Genomic DNA, 25763 nt, shown 5'->3' with positions numbered 1-25763 from the left:
AGGGTCACATTAACTGGGGGATGGAGCTTTGTAATATGATAAAACCACACATGGAAGAAAGCAAGCAAAGTGATGAGAGCCAGAATACCTACAGATTTGGCCAAAGATATGTCAACATACTTTCTGTGGCTCTGGCACAGGGAGGAGAGTCACATCATTACGGTGCTGGGCCAAACAGTATGCCATAATTCCCTCTTTATGCACGACCTAGGCAGAAGAGTAACATCATCTGGGTGCTGAGCCCTAAAATATGGCAAAAGGCCTGTTCATGGGCGTTGTTCGGCAACCAGTCGAGAGTCACATTACCTAAGTGGTGGGCTCAATATGTCACAATATGTCAATTGTTTAGGTATATTTCACATACCTAGACAATTTAATAGGTGGGCAGAATCCAGGCTGAAGTGCCACATCACACGGTCCTGGGTCCTGAGACATTTGCAAGCCCTCCTTAGAAAAGGTCCCAGTCAAGAGAGTTACATCACCTGGGTGCAGGTCCCACATATATGTCACAATGTTCCATGTGGGCAGGGCCAAGCAGGAAGTCACATCACCTAGGTGATAGGCATAGAAATATGTCACAAAGCTTTCCTTAAAGCATGTCCCTGGCAAAAGAGTACCATCACCTTTGTGTGTGGCCTAGCAATATGTCACTATTCAAGTGTGCAGGTCCCAAGCAGAAGAGACATATTATCTCTATGATAGGCCCTGCAATATTTCAAAATGCCCTCTTTGGGGCGTGGCCCTGTCAAAATAGTATCATCACCTCTGTGCCACTCCTAGGAGTACGTCACTATCCTGCCCTGTGTGCAGGGCCCATTCTAGAGAGGAGAGTTACTTCTTTTAAGTGATGGACACAGTAATATGTCACAATAACGTGTGTGTCATGGTACAGGCAAGAATGTAACATCACCTGGATGCTGGATCCAGTGATGTTACAATTCTTACTGAGAGCAGGGCCCAGGCAGAAGTGTAACATCATGTCAAGGTTGGCCCAGGTAAATATCAAAATGCCATATGTAGGCTTGAACCAGTCTGAAGAGTGAAATCACACCGGTAACTGGCAAAGATTTATATCACAGTCTTGAAGAAATAAAATTCTGGGGATTAGATTTAGAATACCACACATGTCCTGTTTTCATGTAGGACAGATGCCTTCATCCACCTGTGATGGTGAAATTCCTTGCTGTCAGCTGGGTGTGCATACAATACTCACAATTTATTCTGTGTGCTAGGTGCTTTGTGACACCCTCTATTCAACACAAGGGTGTTAAAAAATATGTGTGAGTGTTGCAATCTTCTGTGACCTTTTTACCAGAAGGAGATTCTACATCACTCATGTCCCTAAACCTAGTTATAAGAGGCAACATTTCTTCTATTGGCTGGGTCCACATAAGAGAGTCATTATCATGCCTATTAGCTGTGCCTAGTTATATGTCACCATCCCGTCTTTGGTTATAAAAGAGATAGAACAAACACATCACCTACATTCTAAGCCAGAAGTATTACAACGTTCTCTTTGTCAGCAGGGCACTAACCGAAAAGTCAGAAAACTTTGGTGCCAGTCCCAGCTCTATCGCATAATGCCTCTTGTGGACAATGTCCAGGCAGGTGAGGAGAGTCATATCACCAAAATGATGGGCTCAGAGATATGTCACAAGGCCTCCTGTTGAAATGGCCCAGGCAAGAGAGTCATGTCATTTGGATGCAGTGTTTAGAAATGCCACACTCTTCACTGAAAGGAGGTTCAGACAAATGGGGAACATCACATTACCTAGATGATGGGCCCATAGATATGTTATAGTTTTTTCTGAGGACCCTCTACAACAGGAGAGTCAAATCACCAAGGTTCTAGGTCCAGGTATATGTCAAAATGTCATATGCAGGCTATAATTAGGCAGGATTATTAAATCACTGAGGAGCTGGACCAAGGTGTATGTCACAATAGCACTGGTGGAAATGTTCAGGAATGAGAGTCACCATTCTGCACATCCTGGCTCCAGGTATAAAGTTGTTATTATTCCTTTGATCTGTCTCAGGTATATGGCATAATTTCACCTGTGGGCAAGGAGAAGAAAGGAAAGTCACATCACTTCAGTGGGTGCTGGTCCAGTGAAATGTCACAATCCTCCTTGTGGGCAAGACTCCTGGAAAAGAGTCACATCACCTGGATGCTGGTTTAAGTGATATATGAAAATCCACCCTAAGGACAGAGCTTAGGCTGGAAAGGAGACAAAATTCACCTAAGCAATTGGCCTGGAGATATGTCACAATAGCCCCTATGTGCAGGACCAAGGCAGGAGCGTGTCCTCACTTTGGTGCTGGGTTCAGCAACATTTCATAATCTCTCTAGTGGTTAGAGCTCAGGCAAGAGAGAAGAAACATCACTGAGGTGCTGAACCAAGTGTTATGTTACAAAGCTTCCTATTGGCAGAGCGCCACAGGAAAATGAGTCACATTACCTGAGTGCAGTACCCAGTTATGTGTCACAATGCACCATAAGTGCAGTGCCAAGGCAGTAGAAAGAAGTCATATCACTTATGTGATGGACCTAGAAAAAAGCCACAGTGCTGTCTGCAGGCAGGGCTCAGGCCAAGATTTTACATCAGCTGAATGCTGGTTTCAGTGTCATGTAAAAGTGCCCCCTGTCACGTTGCTAAAGGTGTTATATGTTGCTTGTTGCATGTATGTCACAATTTCAACTCTGCTCTGGGCCTAGAAAGCAGAGTCAAAACACTCAGATGCTGGGCAAAGTCACACTTCTCATTCACACACTAAAAAGTGTTCAGAAATCAGTTTCACAGTCCCACACAAGTCTGAGCTTCATGCATGAGACTCAACATCTCCTATGACTGGGTCAAAGTACAGGAGTCACAATATCAACAATGGGCAAGATGCATGTATAAGAGCCCCAATCCCACTTGAAGATTGTGTGTCAGGATAAGAGTCAAATCACCAAAGGTCTGCTGAGTTGTGGTTCAAACATCGCCAAACCACCTATGGATCTGATTCATATATAAGGTAACAATTTCTAGCTTCAGCTGCTTATGGGAGGGAGATTTAGTAAATCATTCATAGGCCCTGTTTATAACAAACATGCCAGCTGGGTGTGCGTCCAAGAGTCACAATAGCACGTGGTCACTGGTGCCTGTTATGACACCCTTTGTACCACTCAGGATTTATATGATATGCCTGACTAGGCTACTTTTCTGTGATTTCTTATAGGTGGGAGATTTGGAATTTATCCGTGGCTGTAAGACAGACTATGAGAGTTAAAATATTCCCCCTGGCTGGGTTCATGTATGAGAGTTATTATTGTGCAAGTGTGCTGATTTCTGGTATGTATCACAATTTTCCCTTTGGACAGAAACAAGGCATAAGAGTCACATCATTTGCATACTGAGCCATGGATACACTATAATCTCCTCTGTGGTAAGGAGCCAGTGACATGGGTCATATCACTGGGTACAATCTCAAATAATATGTCATCTTGACAACTGCATACAGGGTTGAAAAAATAGTGGATAGTTACATCCTCTACGTGCTGGGCTCAGCAATATGATATAATCGCTGCTCTTAACAGAGTCCAGGACAAAGGGGAGAGTCACATCACCTGTGTTTTGCACTCAGGGGTATGTCACAATTTCATCAGTGGGCAGGATCCAGGCAGAAGAGGTGAGTCACATTACCTTGATGCTATATCTAGTGGTATGTCATAGTGTTCCCTGTGGGCAAGACACTGGCAGGAGAGACACATCACCTAGCAAACAGGACTAGAGATATGTGATAATATTTCCTGTTTGCTAGGTCCAAGAACAAGAGTACACATTATTATGATCCTAACCCGGCGATATTTCAAAATCCACCTATGGTCAAGAATTTAAGCCACTAATCTCAACACCTAGGGTTACCAGGCATAGTGATATGACACAATCTCCTTATCTTTTTGGGTGACACTTTTTACTGGTATGTATGTAAGTGTCACAATGTAACGTGTTCTGGGTCATTGTGTGACACATTCTACAATATTCAAAGGCTTTATGTAACATGCATGAGATTTGCAATCCATTCTGAGGCCTACATGCTCCTGTTGACTCACAATCTTATGTATTGCTTTAAATTCAGTTATGATAGACAACATCTCTCTTATAGGCTGGGTTCAGACAGGAGACCCATTATTATGTCTGTGATCTGAGTCCAGAACTGAATCACCATCTCAACTGTAGCAACACACACATATGAAAGTCCCAATTCCATCTTTGTACTTTATTTACTTGTTAGACTGAGGACTTCAACAGTGGTCTTTTTAAATGTGGGATAATGAAATCTTCATCTCTCTCCTGCATGACATGTGTAATCAAGAGTCACGATCTTAACCTTTTGCTAGGCCCTGTTATAAAACTCTGTGTACCAGCCAAAAAGTTTACAGAATTTGAATTAGTGTTGTCATATGTGAGCTTTATGCAAATATGCAACTTATAACCTTACCTATTGCCCTAAGTGTAGCAATGAGAGGCAAAGTGTCTACTATTGGTGCAATCCCAATATAAGTTTGATTATTATGCCTTTGAAATGAAGCAAGGTAAATTTCAAAATCCCATTTGTAGAAAAAAAAACTTGGCAGGAGGGTAGCACAATTTAGGTGCTGTGTCAAGCAATATGTCACAATGCCCTCTCTAGGCATGATATAGAAGTGAGGGATCCATTAAATGGGGGCTGGACCCAGCAATATGACACAATCCCAAATGTGGAAAAAAAAAAGAACCCAGACAAATGATGACACCAAAAACTCCTACTGAATGGGTCTATAATATGTAAAAATACTTTATGTTGCTCTGGCACAGGAAGGAGCGTTACATCATCAGGGTGAGGGGCCCAGCAATATGCCATAATTATCTCTTTATGCAGAACCCAGGTAGAATTGAAAGATTATCTGGGTGCTGGGCCCTGCAATACCTCAAAAATCTTTTTCTTGGGCATGGTTGGGGAAAAAAGAGTCATAGTACCTAAGTATTGGGCTTAGCAGTATGTCAAATCACCCCATTGCAAAGACTCAGGCAGAAGAAAAGATTCACATCACTTAAGACACAGGCTCAGATATATGACCCAATGTCTCAAGTAAGGAGGGCTCAGGCAGAAGGGTAGAGTCATATCACATAGGGGCTTCCCTAGGTATATAACACAATCTAACATATGAGGTGAAAGCTGGCAAAAGAGCCACATCGCCTTGATGTGGGCTCTTGAGATATATCACACAAGCCTCCCTTAAGACAGCACCCATGCAAGAGTGTTATAACAAATAGGTGCGGGTTGTACCATTATGTCACAATGCTCCACGTGGGCAGGGCTCAAAAAGATAGTCAGATCACCTAGGTAATAGGCCAGAGATATGTTACGATATCCTTCTTAAGGCATGGCTCGGGCAAAAGAGTACCATCACCTGTTTGCCTAGCCTAGTAATGTGTCACTATCAAGGTAAGCAGGGCCCAGGCAGGAGAGCAAAATCACCTAAGTGATAGTACCAGAGATTTGTCACAATGCCCTCATTAGGACACGGCTCTAATAAAAGATTACTGTCATCTACGTGCCTGACCCAGCCATATGATACTATCCCCCACTGTGTGCAGGGCCCATTGTCATGAGGAGAGTTACATCACCTAAGTGGTTGTATGACATACGAGACAGTGATATGTCACAATGATGTCTGTGGGAATGGCACAGGCAAAAATTTAACATGACTTGGGTGGTGGACCTAGTGATATGTCATGACCCTTACCGAGAGCAGGACCCAGGCAGGAGAGTCACATCACCTAGATGTTGGACCAGGTAGAAATCACAATAACAACCTCAGGCTGGAACCAGTCTGGAGAGTCAAGTCACACAGATGGTCAGCAAGGATGTTTTTTCAAAATGACACTGGGAGAAAATTCCTGAAATGAGATTTACACTACCACACATGTCTTGTTTTCATGAGTGAGAGCTGGCTTCACATATTTCAGACAGTGACAGTATTTACTGTCAGCTGGGTGTGTATATGAGACTCACAATTTCACCTTTCTGCTGAATAGTGTTTTTACACTCTCTGTACAAGCCAAGGGCATTATAAAATATCTGAGGGTGTTATAATCTTCTTTGACCTTTTTTTTTTCTTTTTTACCAGAAAGAGATTTATGAGATTTATTCACTCTTGTTTTTGTTGTTGTTTTTGTTGTTGTTGAGACAGAGTCTGGCTCTGTCACCCAGGCTGGAGTGCAGTGCTGCAATCTCTGCTCACTGCAACCTCCACCTCCTGGGTTCAAGCAATTCATCTGCCTCAGCCTCCTGACTAATTTGGACTCCAGTCGCACACCACCACACCCAGCTACTGTTTGTAGTTTTAGCAGAGATGGTGTTTCACCATGTTGGTCAGCATGGTCTCGATCTTTTGACCTTGTGATCCACCTGAATCACCCTCCCAAAGTGCTGGAATTACAGGCCTGAGCCACCACGACCAGATAATTTACTCGTGTTTCTAAAGTAAGTTAGAAATGTCAAAGTTATTTTTATTTGTGGGGTCTACATAAAAGAGTCATTATACCTGTAAGTTGTGCCTATGTATAGGTCACAATTTACTCTGTGGTAATGAAATAGGCATGACAGCTAAGTCATCTAAATGCTGAACCAGAAATTTTCCATTATTTTTCTTGTAGACAAGTTCCTTGCAGAAAAGTTTTGTAACGTGGGTGTTACACCCAGATGTATGGCATAATGCCCCTTGTGGGCAGTGTCTAGACAGAAGAGGAGTCTCATACCACCTAAATAATAGGCCCAGAGATATTTCACAATGTGTCCCATTGAAAGGACCAGGCAAGAGAGTCATATCATTTAGATGCAGTGCTTAGAAAAGCTATAATCCCCAGTGGAAGCAGGGTCCAGGCAGGAGAGGAGAGTCAGGTAACTAGATGGTGGGTCCAGAGACATGTTACAATCTTTCCTTAGGATATTGTTAAGACAGGAGAGTCAAATCACCAAGGTGATCACCCGAGGTATATTTCCAAATCTCATTTGTGGGCTACACCTAGGCAGGATTATTAAATCACTCAGGAGCTAGGCAAAAGTATATATAACAATAACACTGGTTGAAAGTTCCAGGAATGGGAATAACCATCTTGCATATGACCTGGGTCCAGATTTAAGAGTCGTGATTAGTCCTTTTGTCTGGTCTCAGGTATATGGCACAATATCACCTGTAAACAGAGAGCAAGGAGGAAGGTCACATCACCTGGGTGGGTGCTGGTCCAGTGAGATGTAGTCATCTTTCTTGTAAGCAGGGCCTTGGAAAGAGTGTCACATCACTTGGATGCTGGTTGCAGTGATATATCAAAATCCCCCATGTGGGCAGGGCTTAGGTAAGTGAGGAGACCCTCTTTACCTAGGCAATTGGCTTAGACATATGTCACACTGGCCGCTATGTGCAAAACCAAGGTATAAAAGTGATCTCACCTGGTGCTGGGTTTAGCAATGTTACAATCTCCCCTTCGGTCAGGGTGATACAAGAAAGGAGAAACATCACCTAGGTGCTGAATTAAGTGATATGTTACAAAGCTTTCTGTTGGCAGAACCCAAAATGCAGAGTCACATCACCTGGGTGCAGTATCCAGTTATGTGTCACAATGCACTATAAGTGCAGGGCCAAGGCAGTAGAAAGCAGTCACATCACTTACATGATGAACTTAGATATAAGCCACAAAGTCTTTTATAGGCAGGGATAAGGCAAATATTTCACATCACATGGGTGCTGATCCCTGTAATATGTAAAATTGCCCTTTGTATGCACACCCAGGCATCTATACTTAGGTGTTTGGTCGTCAAATTGTTCAGGGGATCAGCTAACTTTTATGTCCTGACCACATGATAGTAAATATTTAGAAATAAGTTTCACAGTCCCACACAAGTTCTGGATTTTTGTATGTGAGTCAACACTTCCTGTGAGTTGGGTCAAAGCAGAGGAGTCACAGTCTCAACAGTGGGCAAGCTTCATGTATAAGATGCCCAATTCCACTTGAAGAATGTGTTCCAGCAGAGGAGTCACAGCCTCACAGATGTGCTCAATCGTGCATCACCAAACTACCCATATAGAAGAGGAGCAATTTTAACTTTTGACTGCTCTCTTTGTGAGGTTTAATGCCTTATTTGCAGGCCCTGTTCTTGTGAGAGAATGACTACCGGGTCAGCTGGCTGTGCATTCAAGAGTCACAATGATACTTCCTTCCTGTTCCCTGTTATAACACTGTTTTTACCACTCAGGCTTTATATAATATGCCAGAGTGTCATAATCCTCTGTGAACTTTATACCATTAGGAGACCCAGTACTTTACTTGTGGCCATAAGACTGGCTATAGGAGTCAAAAAATCTCTCCTTTCTGGTTCTAGGTATGACAATTTTATTTGTGCATGTGAGCTGAACCCAGTTATATGTCACAATTTAACCTGTGAGCAGAAGCAAGGTGGGAGAGTCTCATCACCTGGATTCTGAGCTCAGGATACATTATAAACTCCTTCAAAGGCAGGGCCAAGTCAGAAGAGTCACATCACCTGGGTACCGTATCAAGTACTACGGCATCATGTCCACTGTAGACAGGTTTGAAGAAAAAAAGGAGAGTCACACCACCTAGGTGCTGAGCTCAGCAATATGTAGTAATTACCTCTTTTGGCTGACTCTGGAACAAGGAGGAGAGTTGCATTACCTAGGTTTTGTACTCCGTCGTATGTCACAATTCATTCTGCGGTCAGGACCCAGGTAGGAGACGAGCGTCACACTTCCAGATGTTACTTCAAGATATGTCATAATGTTCCTTGAGGGTAAAGCATGGGCAAAATAGACAAATTACCTAGCTGATAGGCTCAGAGATCTGTGATAATATACATTTTTGGCAGGGCCCAGGTAGAGCAGTCACATTATTATGATTCTGAACCCAGGATATATCACAATGCAAACAAGGGAAACAATTTATGCAAAGGTTTTAACACCTGGGTACTAGGACCAGCGATAAGACACAATCTCCTCATCTTTGAGAGTGACACCTTTAACTGTTAGCTTGGTGTGTATATGAGTCACAATGTCACGTGTGTGCTGGGCCATGCTATGACACCCTCTGTAATGTCTGAGGGCTTTATATAGCATGCGTGAGAGTTGCAAACTACTCTGAGGCCCACATGCTTATATGAAATCACAGTCTTATATATTGCCTTAAGCACAGGTATGATAGCCAACATCTCTTATTTAGGCTGATGTCAGGAATGTCTGTGAGCTTGGTCAAAAATGAGTCACAATCGCACATGTGGCCAGATCCATATATGAGAGCCACAATTTTATCTTTATATTCTTTTCACTTGTTAGACTCAGTACATCAACGGTGGGCTTTGTAAATGTGGGATAGTGACGACTTTTACTTTCACCTAGGTGTGTAATTGACAGTCACAATCTTAACTCTTTGCTGGGCCTTGTTATGAAACCCTGTATCACCCAAGTAGTTTATACAAGACAAATTTGTGTTGTAAACTTCTGTGAGCTTTGAAGAAATTTCCAACCCAGAATTTTATATGTTGCCCTAAGCCTAGCGATGAGAGGCAAAATATCTTCTATTGCCTGAATCCTAATATAAGAGACCATCATACCTGTAAGCTGTAGCAAGGTATATGTCATAATACCATTTGTGGGCAAAAAATTAGGAAAAAGAGTAACATCACATAGGCGATATGGCAATCGACATGTCACAATGCCCTCTCTAGGCAGAACCTAGGAAGGAGTGTTACATTAACTGGGTGCTGCGCCCAGCAATATTACAGAATTCCACATGTGAAAAATATTAGCCAAGGGATAAGAGCCAAAACTCCTACAGAAAAAGCCGAAGACATGTCAAAAATACTCTCTGTGGCTCTGGCACAGATAGGACAGTACCATCATCAGGGTGCTCAGCTGACCATCTGCAATAATTTTATCTTTATTCAGGACTCTGGCAGAAAAATAACATCATCTGAGTGCAATAGGTCAAAATTTCTTTGCGGTCACGGTTCAGAAAAAAGAGTAGAGTCACATGATGTAAATGTTGGGCTCAGAAACATGTCACAATCCCACCATTTTAAAGGCCCTGGTACAAGAGAGCCATATGACTTTGGTCATGGGCTCAGAGATATATCCCAATGACCCCAGTAGGCAGGGCTCAGGCAGTCAAGGAGATTCATATCACCTAGGTGCTTCCTGAGGAATATATCACAATGTTACATGTGGGCAGAAAACAGACAGGAGAGCCACATAGCTTGGGTTCTGCATGCTGAGATATTTCACAAGGCTCTCTTAGAACAGCTGCCAGACAATGGAGTTACGTCACCTACATGCAGGTTCTCTGCCTATGCCACAATGCTCCATGTGGGTAGTGCCTAAGGAGGAATGGACTACACCTAGGTGATAGGGCCAGAGATATGTCACAAAGTCCTCTATGAGGCATGGCCCTGGCAAAAGAGTACCATCACCTGTGTGCCTGGCCTAGAAACATGTCACGCTCCAGGTTGGCAATACCCAAGCAGGAGAGCCACATAACCAGAGATACATCAGAATCCTCTCCTTTGGGCATGGCTTTGGCAAAAGAGTAGCCTCACCTGTGTTCTCAGTCTTGAATCATGTCACTACCTTTTCTTTGAGCAGGGCCCATTCCAGAGAGGAAAGTTACATCACCTATGAGGTGGACACAGAAATATGTCACAATAATTTTTGTGGGCATGCTGCAGACAAGAATGTAACCTGTGGCCAGAGAGTAGCCAAGAAAGTCACATCAGCTATGTGTGTGCGGGTCCAGTAAAATGTCACAATACACTTTGCGGGCAGGACCCTGGCAGAAAAGCCACATCACCTGCATGCTGCTTGCAGTGACATATCAAAACTCACTATGTGGGCAGAACTTTGGCAAGAGAGGAGAACCACTTAGCCTAGGCAACTGGTGCAGATATATGTCACAATGACCCTCATGTGCAAGACCAAGGCTGTAGAGTGACCACAACTTAGTGCTGGGTGCAGCAATATGTCACAATTTCCCCATGGTCAGGGCCCAGAGAAAATATGAAGAAACATCACCTAGGTGCTGAGCCAAGTGATATGTTCCAATGCTTCCTGTTAGCAGAGCTCAAAAAGGAGAATCATGTCACATGGGTGCAGCACCCAGTTATGTGTCACATTTCAGTGTAAGTGCAGGGCCAAGACAGTAGAAGGGACTCACTACACTTATGTGATGTACCTAGATTTAAGACACAATTCTTGTAGGCAGTTTTCAGCAGATAATTTACATCACTTAGGTGATTGTCCCAGTGATATATAAAAGTGACCTTTGCAGTGGGAGTTCTGGAAACTATTATATGTTTCTTAGGTGCTTGTTTCACATATGGCAAAATCTAGTCTGGGATTAGAAAAGAGAGTCAGACGATTCATGTGCTAGGCAAAGTTACCTCTCCCTTTTATATTCTCAGAAAGATTTGGAAATAAGTTCCACATCCCACACAAGTATTTCTTTTGTGTAAGTGATTCAATTATTCTGTGAGTTGGGTTGAAGCAGAGGAGTTACAATCTCAGCAACGAGCAAGATTCATGTATAAGAGCCCCAATCTCACTTGAAGATGGTTTTCCAGTAGGGGAGTCAGCACTACAGGTGTGTTGAATCATGGTTCGTATGTTACCAAACCACCTGTGAATCAGATCCATGTATAAGAGTAATTATTTCAATCTTTGACTGCTTTTTATGTGCATGATTTATTACCTCATTCCTAGGCCCTGTTCATGTGGGAGAATGTCAATCGTGTCAGCTAGGTGTACATACAAGTGTTCTCACCTCATTGCTGCTTTCTGTTATTACACTCTTTGTATCATTAAGGCTTTATGTGATATACCTGAGTGTTATAATCCTTCGTGAAATTTATACAAGTGAAAAGCCCAGGACTTTACCAATGGCTGTGAGACTGGCTGTGAGAGTCAGTTATCTCTACTGGATGGGTCCAGGTATGAGAATTATTATTGTGCATGTGTGCTTAAACAAGGTACATGTCACAGCTGGATCTGTGAGCAGAAAAAATGCCAGGAGAGTCACATCAGTTGGGTGCTGAGCCAGTTATATAGTATAATCTTGTTTGTAGTCTGGGGCTAATCAGAAGGGTAACATCACATCACCTGAGTGCTGAGCCAGTGATACAGTATATACTCATTTTTTGGCTGGGCCTAGTCAGAAGAGTCACATCACCTGGGTACAGCCTCAAACAGTATGTCACCAAGCCCACTAAAGACAGGAAAGAAGAAAAAGAGGAGTGTTCCACCACCTAGATGCTGAGCTCGGCAATATGTAATAATCCTTCTTTTGGAAGAGTCTAGAATATGAAGGAGAGCTACATCTCCTAGATTTTGCAATCAGCGGTATGTCACAACTTCTATGGTGAGCAGGGCCCAGGCAGGAGAGGATAGTCACATTTTCTAAATATTATGTAAACCGATATTTCACAATGTCCCCTGGGGACAGGGCACAAAAAGAAGAGACAAATCACCTAGCTTATAGACCCAGAGATATGTGATAATATTCCCTCTTGGCAGCGTCAAGGCAGAAGAGTCACATTATTATGATTCTAACCCAGTGATATGTCACAGTGAATCCATGGGAAGGAATTTAAGCCAAAAAGTCTCAACATCTTGGTAACAGGCTTCGTAATATGCCAGAACTCCTTGTCTTTCAGAGTGACATGATTCACTGTGAGCTGGGTGTGAATATGAGAAACACAATCTCATGTGTTTCCTGGATCATTGTATCACACTCTACAACTTTCAAAGGCTTTATACAGCATTCGTGAGAGTTGCAAACCACTCTGAGGCCAACATGCTTGTATGGATTCATTATCTTATATACTGCCATAAACCCAGATACGATAGTCAACATATCTTCTGTAGGCTAGGTTCAGGGATGAGACCCCTTATTTTGCCTGTAAGCTGGATCCAGAAGTGAGTCACCCTCCCATTTGAGGCCAGATCAACATATGAAGATCACAACTCCAATTTTGTTCTCTATTCACTTTTAGACTTAGGAACTTAATAGTGGGCTTTGTACATGTGGGATGGTGACGACATTTGCTTTCACCTGGGTGTCTAACGGAGAGTCCTAATCTAAACTTTTGATGATCTCTTTCATAAAACTCTCTTTACAACCCAAGAAATGTATACATTATGAGTTAGTGTAAAGTTTTTGAGTTTGATGCAAATATGAAACCCAGGACCTCATCTATTTCCCTAAGCCTAGTAATGAATGGCAAAATGTATCCTACTGGCTGAATCCCAGCATGAGTTTGACCATCATGCCTGTGAACTGAAGTAAGGTGTAGGACATAGTCCCATTTGTGGTCAAAAAGTGAGTCAGGAAGGTAACATCACTTGGGTGCTGTGACAAGCATCATGTCACAATGTCCTCTCTAAGAAGGGTATAGGGATTAGAGTAACATTAACTGGGTGTTGGAACTGCAATATGACAAAATCCCATATGTGGAAAAAGACAACCTAGAAATGAAAGCCAAAATTCCAACAGAATGGGCCCAGGATATATCACAATACCTTCTGTGGCTTTGGGTCAGCCATGAGAGTCACATTATTAGGGTGCTGGGCCCAGAAATATGCCATAATCCCTCATATGTGCAGGACCCAGGCAAAAGAGTAATGTTATCTGCATGCTTGGCCCTGCAATAGGTCAAAATCTTTGTTTGTCTAATAACCCGAGTGCTGGGCTCAGCCATATGTCACCAATGTCACCATCCTCTCATTGTAAAGACCAGGCAGGAGAAGAGAGTCACTTCACTTAGGTCATGGGCTCAGAGAAACATCCCGGTGCCCCTGTATGCAGGGCTCAGGTAGAAAAGAAGAGTTATATCACTTATATTCTTCTCTAGTTATATGTCACAATCTAACATGTGGGCAGAAACCAGGAAGAAGAGCCACATCACCTGGGTATAGCCTCAAGTAATATGTCACCATGCCCAATGTAGACATCTTCAAAGAAAAAAAAAAAAAAAAAGAATTAGACCACGAGCATGCTGGGCTCAATAATATGTAATAATTCCCTCTTTTGGCAGAGTACACAACAAAGAAGAGAGCCATGTCACCTAGACTTTGTGCTCAGTGGTATGTCACAATTTCTTCAGTCAACAGGATCCATCCAGGAGAGGAGGGTCACATTACCTAGATGCTATATGTAGCAATATGTCACAGTGTCCCCTGTGGGCAGGGCACTGGCAGGAGGGAAATGTCACTTAGCCAATAGATGCAGAGATATGTGAAAATATCTGCTCTTTGCAGGGCCAAGATAGAAGAGTCACATTGTCATGGTTCTGATCCAGTGATATGTAACAATGACCTCATGGAAAAGAATTTAAACCAAAAAGTCTCAATACCGGTATACTAAGCCAAGGGATGTGGCATAATCTCCTCATCTTTAAGCATGACATCATAAACTGTTATCTAGTTGTGTATATGACAGTCACAATCTCCCAAGTGTGCTTGCCATTGTATGATACTCTCTACAACATCTGAAAACTTTACGCAACAGGCATGAGTGTTGCAAAACTTTCTGTGGGCTACATGTTTATATGGACTCATAATCTTACATATTGCCCTAAACTGAGGTATGTCAGGCAACATGTCTCCTACAGGCTGGCATCAGGGTTGAGACCATTATTAGGCCTGTGAGATGGGTGTAGAAATGATCCACCATTTCACCTGTAGTCAGATTCACTTATGAGAGTCACAATTCAAACTTTCGGTTCTATTGACTTGATCAATTCAGGACTTCAGCAATAAGCTTTGTGAATGTAGGATATGAGTTAATGTTGTAAAATTCTGTGATCTTTGAACAAATATGAAATGAAGGTCCTTAACTATTGACCTAAACCTAGGGGTAAAAGGTAAAATGTCCCCTATTGGCTTAATCCCACAATAAGCTTGATCATCATGCCTTGGAGCTGAAGCAAAGTGTATGTCATAATCCCATTTGTGGGCAAAAAACTAGGCAGAAGGTTAACACCATTTAGGTGTTGTGCCAAGCAATATATCATAGTGCCCTCCCTAGGCAGAGCCTAAGAAATGGGGTCACATTAACCGGGGGCTGGAACCCACAATGTGACACAAAAATACGTGGAAGAAACCCAGCAAACTGGTTAGTGCCAAAGTACCTACAGAATGAGCAAAAGACATGTCAAAATACCTTCTGTGGCCCTGGCATGGACAGAAGAGTCATATTCTTAGGGTCCTGGGCCAAGCAATATGCCACAATTCCCTCTTTATCCATGAGCTAGGCAGAAGAGTAATATTATCTGGGTGTTGGGTCCTGATATACAGCAAAAGCCCTGTTCATGGGCACTCTTTAGCAAGAACATGAGAGTCACACAACCTAAGTACGGGGCTTCTCAATACATCACAATTCTCCCACTGTAAAACTACAGACAGAAGAAGTGAGTCAAATTACTTAGGTCATGGGCTCAATGATATGACCCAAAGTCATTTGTAGGCAGGGCTCAGGCAAAAAAAGTGAGTCGTATCACCTAGGTGCTTCTTTAGGTATAGGTCACAATTTAGTATGTGGGAAGAAGCCAGGCTGAAGAATCACATCACCTGGTCCTGGGTCCTGAGATATTCACAAATCCCCCTTAGAAAAGGACCTAGGCAAGAGAGTTACATCACCTAGGAACAGGTTCCACCCTTATGTTACAATGCTCCATGTGGGCAGCCTATGAAGGAATTCACATCACCTAGGTGATAGGCCCAGATATATGTCACATAACCTTCCTGAAACCATGGTCTTGGCAAAAGAGTACAATCACCTTTGTCACCTGGTCTAGCAATATGTCACTATTCCAGTGGGCAGTTTTCAAGCAGGAGAGCCATATCACCTATACAATAGGCCCTGTAACATGTCATAATCTTATCTTTTGTGCATGGCCCTGGCAAAGAAAAGTATCATTACCTGTGTGCCTGGCTTATGAATATGTCACTCTCCTGCCCTGTGTGCAGGGCCCGTTTCAGAGAGGAAAGTTATATCACCTCAGTGATGGACAACATAATATGTCACAAGGATGTGTGTGGGCATGGGGCAAGCATGAATGTAACGTCACCTAAGTACTGGATCCAATGATGTCACAATTCTTCCTGAGAGCAGGCCAGGCAGAAGAATCACAAGACTTCAATGTTGGCCCAGGTAGATATCAAAATTCCATGTGTAGGCTGGAACCAGTCCAAAGAGTGAAATCAAAAAAGCGCATGGAAGAGTTTTAGATCACAGTCATGATAAAATAAATTTCTAGGGATTAGACTTATAATGCCACATGTGTCTTGTTTTCATGTAGAACAGTAGCTTTTATACATCTGTGATTGTGAAAATCCTTCCAGTCAGCTGGGTGTCCAAACGAGACTCACGATTTCCTCTTTATCCTAGGCCCTGCTATGACACTCTCTATACTACTTACAGGTGTTATAAGAAGGTGTGAGTGTTGTAATCTTCTGTGACATTGTTAACAGTAGGAGATGCTTCATGTCACTCATGTCTCTAAACCTAGTTGTAAGAGTCAAAATTTCTCCTATTGGCTGTGTCCACATATGAGAGTCATTATCATGCCTGTTAGCTGTGCCTAGGTATATGTCACCATGCCCTCTGTGGTTACTAAATAGGCAGGACACTACATCACCTAAATCCTAAGCCAGAAATATTCCAATATTCTCTTTGTATGCAAGGCCCTAACGGAGAAGTAACAGAACTTAGGTGTTATGCCAAGCTCTATGCTGTAATGTTACTTGTGAAGAGTGTCCGGGCAGGAGAGGAGAGTCATATCACCTAGATGATGGGTGCAGAGATATATCATAATGCCTTCTGTTGTAATGGCCCAGGAAAAAGGGTCATATCATTTGGATGCGTGCTTAGAAATGCCACACTCTTTGCTTTAATCAGCGTGCAGTCAGGAGAGGAAAGTCGCATAACCTAGATCATAGGTCCAGAGATATGTTATGATCCCTTCGGAGAACACTGTTAAGACAAAAGTCAAATCCCCAAGGTTTTGGCCCAATTGTATGTAAAAATGTCACATCTGGACTCTAAATAGGCAGGATTATTAAGTGACTCAAGAGCTGGGCAAAAATAAACGTCAGAATAACACCTGTGAAAAGGTTCAGTGTTGAGAGTCACAATCCTGCACGTGACCTGGTTCCTGGTACAAGAGTCATTATTAGACCTTTTATTTGTTCTCAAGTATATGGCACATTACCACTTGTGGGGAAGGAGAAGAAAGTAAGGAAAGTCACATCATTTAAGTGTGTGCACGTCCAGTGAAATTTCACAATTCTCCTTGTGGGTGGGACTCTTGGAGAAGAGTCAATCACCTGGATGCTGGCTTCAGTGACATATCTAAATCCTCTCTGTTGGCAAGGCTTAGGCAAGAGAGGAGACAAACTGCACATGGGCAATTGGCCTTGATATATGTCACAATGGCCATTGTGTGCAGGATCAAGACAGGAGAGTGAACTCACCTTGGTGCTGGGCTAAGCAATATGTCAAAGTCTCTCTGGTGGTCAGGGTCAAGGCAAGAGAGGAGAAACAGCACCTAGGGGCTGAGCCAAGTGATTTGTTACATAGCTTTCTATTGGCAGAACTCCCCTCAAAAACTCTCACATCACCTGAATGCAGTGTGTCACAATACAGCATAATTGCAGGGCCAAGGCAGTAGAAGGAACTCACATTATTTACATGATGGATCTGGATAAAATCCATAATGCTCTTTGTAGGCAGGGTTTAGGCCAACATTTCACACCAGCTGGTTGCTGGTACCAGTAACATGTAAAAGGGCCCCTAGTTGCATTGACAAAAAGTTGTTATACATTGCTTAGGTGCTGGTGCATGTATGTCACAATTTCTAGGCTTGGCCTAGAAAGGAGAGTCAAAATACTCAGATGCTGGACAAAGTCAAACTTCACAATCACACACTTGAAAATGTTCAGAAATAAATTTTACAGGCCCACACAACTTCTGGCTTCGGGTATGAGAGTCAACACCTCCTATGAGTTGGGTCGAAGTAAAGAAGTCATAATCTCAACAATGGGCAAGATACATGTGTAACAGCCCCAATCACATTGAAGGTTGTGTTCCAGTAGGACAGTCAAAGCACCACTGGTCTGGAGAATCGTGGGTAAATTTCACCACAGCATCTGTGGATCAGATTCATATATGACGGTAACAAATTCCAGCTTCAACTGCTTATGTGTGTGAGATTTTTTAACTCATTCATAGGCTCTGTTCATGTGTGAAAATGACAACTGTGACAACTCGATGTGTGTAACACCTGGTTGCTGGTGCCTGTTATGACACACTTTGTACCACACAGACCTTAAATGATACACCTGAGTAGGATACATTTGTCTGAATTTTTACAGACATCTAATTTTACAGAGATCTGAGACTTTACTCATGGCCATAAACTGGCTCTGAGATTCACAATATCTCCCTTGGATGGGTCATGCATGAGTTATTATTGTGCATATCAGCTGAATCCAGGTATATGTTAGAATTTCATCTTTGGACATAGACAAGATAGAAAAGTCACATCATCTGTGTCCTTAGCCAGAAATACATTATATCTTCTTTTTAGGCAGGATCCAGTCAGAAGGCTCATATCTCCTGGGTACAGTCTCAAATAATATATCATCTTGACCATTGTATACAGGGTTGAAAAAATAGAGGGTAGTCACATTCCCTAGGTGCTGGGCTCTGCAATATGTTATAATTCCCTCTTATAGCAGATTCCAGCACAAAGAGGAGAGTCACACCACCTAGGTTTTGCACTCAGTGGTATGTCACAATTTCCTAGGTAGGTGAGATCCAGGCAGGAGAGGAGAGCACATTACCTAGATACTATATCCAGCAAAATGTCGGTGTCCCCTGTGAGAGAACACTGTGAGAGGAGAGACATATCACCTAGCTGATAGGCCCAGAGATATGTTACAATATCCCCTGTTGGCTGGATCCGTGAAGAAGAGTCACCTTTTTATGATTCTAACCCAGCAATATTTCACAATACACCCATGGGAAAGAATCTAAGCCAAGACTCTCAACACCGGGGTGCTGGGCTTTGTCATATGACACTATCAATTTATCCTTTAGGTGACACATTTAACTGTTAGTTTGTTATGTATGTAAGAGTCACAATCTCAAGTGTGTTCTCAGTCATCTTATGAGACACTCTACAACATCTGAAGGCTTTATGCAAAATACCTTAGTGTTACAAACCACTCTGAAGCCTACATGCTCGTTTGACCCAAAACATACATATTGATGTAAACCCTGTTATGATAATCAACAGTTCTCTTATAGGCTGGGTTCAGACAGAAAACCCATTATGGTGCCTATAATCTGGGTCCAGAAATGAGTCACCATCTCATCTGTAGCAAGATCCACATATGAGAGTCACAATTCCATCGTTGTACTTTATTTACTTCTTAGAGTCAGAACTTCAACAGTGGGCTTTATAAATATGAGATGCTAAAAACTTTTTCTCTCACCTGCATTTGTAATCAAGGGTCACAATTTTAATCTTTTGCTGAGCTCTATTATAAAACTCTGTGTACCACCCAAGTTTATAGACTATGAGTTAGTGTTGTAAATTTCTGTGAGCTTTGTGCAAATATGCATCTCATAACTGTAACTATTGCCCTAAGCACAGCTATGAGAGGGAAAAGTCTACTATTGGTGGAATGCCAATTATGTTTGATCATGATGCCACTGAGTTGAAGCAATGTAAGTATCATAATCTCATTTGTAGAAAAAAAAACTTAGTGGAAAAGTAGCACAACTTACATGCTGTGGCAAGCAATATGTCACAATACCCTCTCTAGGCAGGGTCTAGAAATGAGGGTTACATTAACTGGGTGCTGGAGTGCTGGACCCAGCAATATGACACAATCTCAAATGTGGAAAAACAAGCCCAAACAAATAAGGACAGCAAAAACACCTACAGGATGGGCCCAAGATATATAAAAATACTTTCAGTTGCTCTGGTACAAGCAGGAGAGTTATATCTTCAGGGTGATGGGCCCAGCAATGTGCCATAATTATCTCTTTCTGCAGGACTCAGGCAGAAAAGGTACATCATCTGGGTGCTGTACCCTGCAATACAGCAAAATTTATTTTATTGGCATGATTTGGAAAAAGAACAGTCATTTAATCTAAGTATTGGGCTTAGCAATATGTCACAGCATCCCACGGTAAGGGCTCAGGCAGAAGAAAACAGACACATCACTTAGAACACAGGCTCAGATATATGACCCAATGTCTCAAGTAGGCAGGGCTGAGGCAGAAGAGAAGAGTCATATCACCTAGGTGCTTCCCTAGGTTTATAACACAATCTAACATATCAGGAGAAGTCAGGCAAAAGAGTCACTTCACCTTTATGCTGGTTCCTGAGATATGTCACAATGCTCCCTTAGGACAGGACATGGGTGAGAGAGTTACAACAAACAGTTACAGTTTTCACACTTATGTCACAATGCTCCATGTGGCAGGACTCAAGCAGCAAGTTATATCACCTAGAGGATAGGCCAAGAGATTTGTCACAATACCCTTTTTAGGATAAGGTCCCAGCAAAGGAGTTCCATCATCTGTGACCCTAGTGCAGCCATATGTGAGTATACCATACTCTGTGCACAGCCCAATCTAATGAGGAGAGTTGCATCACCTACAGGGCTGACACAGTGATATGTCACAATAATTTCTGTGGGCATAGCTTAGGCAAAAATATAACATGACCTGTGTGCTGGAGGTAGTGATTTTTCGTGATTTTTACTGGGAGTAGGTCCCAGATGGGAGAGTCACATCACCTCAAGGTTGGCCCAGGTAGATACCACAATAACATATGTGGGCTGAAACCCTTCCAGAGAGTCAAATCATATGGGTGATTCACAAAATATTAAATCACAAGCACACTGGCGGAAAACTCCCAGGGTAAGATTTACAATACCACACATTAGTTGTTTTTATGAGTGACAGTTGGCTTCATATATTTAAGATGGTGACATTCCTTACTGTCAGATCAGTGTGCATATGAGACTCAGAATTATGCCTTTCTGCTGCATTCCATCATAACAATTTCTGTACAAGCTGAGGACATTATAAAATACTTGAGGCTGCTATAGTCTTCTTTGAACTTTTTTATTACCAGAAAGAGATTTAATCATTCATGTTTCAAAAGCAATTTATGGAAGTTGAAAATACTTCTATGTGTGAGGCCCACATATGACAGTCATTACCATGTCTGTGAGATGCTTGTAAATTGAACATTGAAATAAAAGCCCAACAAGGTACTCTTAAGGCACTAATCTGTTCCTTACCAACATTTGTAAAGAATTATAAAATAATTTATAAAAATTATATCTTTTCCATTTCTAAGTCATCATTTTTGTTAAATAAGTAATTTAGGAAAATCTGGAATTTTATTTCAGGATTTTTAAACCTCTAAGTTGTAACATCCTTCTCAAAACCACACTGTAGTTACAAAATTATCTTTCTTTATTTCTAGCTTTTGGATGCTACAGAGGGCCCATAGAGTATCAACAAGAGAGATAAACAGGATTATATGGCATGATTAGTTACACGGAATTGCCAAATGGTGTTCAATATTTTTAGGTGATATTTTGGTGACTAATACTAATACATGTTCTAAAATTATATGGGATTTCTAAAATTCTAATGTCTGAAGTATATGCTATCATCCACAATTAAGGTTGTTAGGTTAATTTATTGCAAACCATATAGATAACGAAAATTTTTGTCATATTTCTGACTGTAACTACCTTGCACACTTTGTAATACACAGATAATTATTCCTTTTTTGATTTTTTTATGAAGTGCTTTTTAATCAGCTATAGATCTTTAATAGGTGCTCTCAATTGCAGGCTTCCGATAACTTTGGAGCTTGTGACATTGAAATACAGGAAAAACTTACAGGACTCTCAAAGAGCTAAAATATGTATGAATATCAAACAAAAGAAGAGTTGACTGAATGGACCGGACTAATAGAAAATTGAAGTAGCCCTTCTGACTTTTGTTTGAGACATTACTCATTCTTGTATTATTTACCAGAGTCAAGGAAACATCTTGAGATACTTACAGCCTTTAATATGTGAGCAAGGTGTACTCATGTGTGCACAATTTGGATCACGTTTGCCTTTCTCGGCAGGACTTCTCCTGAATTCGAAAAATAGTTGTGAGTGTTCTTAACTTGTGGCAATATAGGTGTTTGTATCAGTGCAATAACAGTCCAATTTCTCTTCCAACAGAACACAACTGGAGAAACTGGTTGTTTGAACAAGGCCTTGACTAAAAAATAAGCTTCCCTTTAAGGAGTCAAGATCAACTTGCAGAACCAAGAAAATCCCAGTGGAAAAATTGGCTTTATACCTCATCTAAACAGTCCTTTAGCAGGGTTCCTGATCTGTGGTAACTAAATAATGACACTTTCTGACAGGCCCAGGAGCTCCAAGTTTATCTTGGGACCATAAGAGCAGAGAATCACCCAACTAAAAATTATCTGATTGTACAAACCCGTGGCTGGGCTTGACTTTAGAAAGTCCCATCTGAAATTTCTTGTGGAACAGAGTTCCATCAAAGCCAATGTAAAAGACCTATCTAGAAATAATTATTCTTGCTGCATTTTATGCAAATAATCAGGCCCAGTATCAGAATAAAGTTTATTTTACAAACAACTCAGTCCTATCATGATTTATTTTTTAATAGAAGAGGACTGGATAAAGTTTATGTTTCACAACTTATTATATATTTGTCATTAAATTCTAAACTCACAAGTTTTGCATTGTTGCCTACTTTTTAGAACAATCTTGCTTATTTCTGTGACCCCACTAATGATCTTCAACTGCAGCCCACAATAAACAAAAATGAATTGGTACACATGAAAATCTGGATTAACATTATAATTCTGGACAATTATCCTGCAAATTCTGCAGAGTGATGGGAATATATAGGGTGCCCACCTAAATTTTATGAAGCACAACTATAGCCACTAGTTTCCTCAGTATGTCACAGTCATTCTTTTCTCACCCTTGTAGAAGAAGAACTCAATTCCACAGCTTCATCTTAGCATTCAGCTCATGATAAAGAGTCCATGCAATGCCCTGAGACACATTTTTGCCCCAGCCTCAATTCTAAGCTTCTGTTTGACACCATAGAAAAAAGTAAAAAATTTGAGAAATCCAGAGGCAGGTGATAATGGAGGTAAAAAAGCACAATGCTGGTGAGCATAACTAATTCCCAGGGATTAAGCCAAGCCCCCGATTTCATGGATAAAGATTATGCTACTATCCATGCCATAAATGAGGTCCAGTGAACTCCAGAGCTACTGACAGCAGGGAAGAAAGGGTACACATGTGTAAGAGCAGATATATCCACCCCCTTAGGCCTCCCTGTTAACATTGGTGAAAGCTGCCTCGACACCCATGGGAGGCACCCTGTTACAATCAGTGGGACTTGGGGATACAAGGATTGAAGTGGGAAAAAGAATATTCTTTCTCCTATAGCTCAACACACCCTGGGAAATTGCTAGGAAGAGAAAGGAGCCAGGGACTCCTGCTCCTCTATCTCTTTCAAGATAAGTAACCATTCATTTTTAGTCTAGACCCATTTTGAATGCATCCTGAACCCTTGGAACTCCTTTGAAAAAATGCTAACTTTTCATTTTTTCTCCTCCGTTTGCTGTTTAGAGATAGGTAATCACATCTCCATGTTTTGGGACATTCCTCTTCAATGCATCCTCCAAGTTTGGAAGAGTTAATTTCCCAAACATTAAACTGGACAGCTTAGGATTGGACCCAGGAGAAAAGAACCCAGAAGTCTCATATGCTGTCAAAAGGGTAAAAGTTTTTTCTTTCTTTCTTTCTTTCTTTCTTTCTTTCTTTCTTTCTTTCTTTCTTTCTTTCTTTCTTTCTTTCTTTCTTTCTTTCCTTTTCTTTTTCTTTCTTTCTTTTATTTTTTCCTGTTGGGCTTTTGGCCTCCCTCTACCTATGCAAACTGGTGAAAACCCTGGATTTTTTTTGAGCTGTCTCTTCCACATTTCCCTTGGTTCATTTTAATACGTGCTTTTTAGTAACACAGTTTGATTCTCCTCACCTTCAGGCTATCAAACTTCAAACAGTCACACTACCATAGGCTGAGACAATGGCCCCTTTCACTGGAGACACTTAGGCCTCTAAGGAATAACTGACTGCCATTTATTTCACAACAGTGCCCCCTGTCATCAGGAAGCACTTAAAAGTGGTTTTTGTCCTCATCTTTATCCTTATTCTAACAGCAGTTAGATATACTTATTGACAGTGGAAAATAACAGAGTTAGAAAACAGCCAAGTGTCTTGGACAAAACCCCATCTTCAAGCCTAAAACAGCCTGAAGGCTGAAAAATCGAGTGCTTGTGCTAGATGAAGCCTGCCTTTTTCCAACAGATTCTCTTTGAATAATTTCCATCTGAAAACTGGGGGAAGGGAGTGGAGGCTTGGAAGGCCATGGAAACTTTACCCCTTGTGCAGGGAGGAGGAGCCTGGCTTCATCAGTTCCTGTGTGATGGTCTGGTGTTCAGCAATCCGTGAAGTGGGGGCCTGGTAAACACGACTCCCACTCACTTCGTTGAGAGTTTTTCTTTTTTTCTTTTCTTTTACCCAATCAGCTCTACTCTTTATCCTTCAGGAGTGTCCCTGAGCCTAATCTTTCCTAGTCATGTGACAAGAACCCAATTTTGCTGAAGGAGAACGTTCTGCAACATGAGGAATTAGAACGTTTGTTTAAGATAAGCTGAATTTTATGCATGTGGGTTTCATTCTGGCCTCTGTTATTTGCCTTAACATTGATTTAACTGTCTTTATGCCAGCACCACACTATTTTGATTACTGTAACTTGGCAATATGTTTTGAAATAAAAAGTATTTATCTAAGTATATTCTTTTTTTCCAAAGTTGTTTTGCTACTTTTTTTGTTTTGTTTGTTTTTGAGTGTTTACATAAATTATAGTGCAATATTTGAGGGCTTACTCCTGTGATCCCAATACATTGGGAAGCCAAGGAAGGTGGATTGCAGGACCCCAGTAGTTTGACACCAGCCTGGGCAATATGGTGAAACCCTGTATCTACAAAAAATACAAGAACTTGCTGAGCATGGTGGCATGCACCTGCAGTCTCAGCTACTTCTGGAGCTGAGGTGGGAGGATCAATTGAGCTTGATGTGTCAAGGCTATGGTGAGCCATGATTATAGCATTGCACTCCAGCCTGGGTGACACAGCTAAATATTGACTCAAACATTTTAGAATATTTTACTACTTCTGCAAAACAAAAACAAAAACAACAACAACAACAAAAAACTATTGGCTCTTTGAAAGAGTTCTCATTGACCTGTAGATCATTTCTAATACCATTAACTGAGGCACCACTCTTTTCATGAGGGCATTAGCTGCAGGGAGTCTGTCCCTTGCAGACCCCTGACCGAGCGACAGATGAATAAAGTACCCTGTCACACAGATATTCTGCTTTTCAAGTCCAGCTGAGGGTCTGGGGCCACTAACAGTCTCCAAAGGGAGTCCTGTAAAGAGTGGCAGCTGTGCCCTGAGCAACTTGCACTCCAGGCATTTATTTAGTATAGAATTATTAACAGAAGCTTTGAGTAGACACACTTGTGGATAATTAA

General features: G+C 41.7%; 1 long non-coding RNA gene across 1 annotated transcript in view; it reads right to left on the bottom strand.

Annotated features, from left to right (window-relative positions):
• Nucleotides 1-1054: 1054 nt before the first annotated feature.
• TTTY4 (testis expressed transcript, Y-linked 4) overlaps nucleotides 1055-25763 on the bottom strand; it is a 36830-nt gene continuing 12121 nt past the window's right edge. The window contains exons 2-4 of the long non-coding RNA NR_001525.1: nucleotides 10636-10711; nucleotides 8724-8831; nucleotides 1055-2055 (exon numbers count right to left, since the gene is read on the bottom strand). This is a non-coding gene — a long non-coding RNA (testis expressed transcript, Y-linked 4). The remainder of the gene's footprint in view (nucleotides 2056-8723; nucleotides 8832-10635; nucleotides 10712-25763) is intronic.

The sequence above is a fragment of the Homo sapiens genome, chromosome Y (assembly GCF_000001405.40).
Source record: "Homo sapiens chromosome Y, GRCh38.p14 Primary Assembly".
NCBI classification, from domain to species: Eukaryota; Metazoa; Chordata; class Mammalia; order Primates; family Hominidae; genus Homo; species Homo sapiens.
The sequence above is the reverse complement of the archived record's forward strand: the minus strand, read 5'-3'. Positions and strand labels throughout refer to the sequence as shown.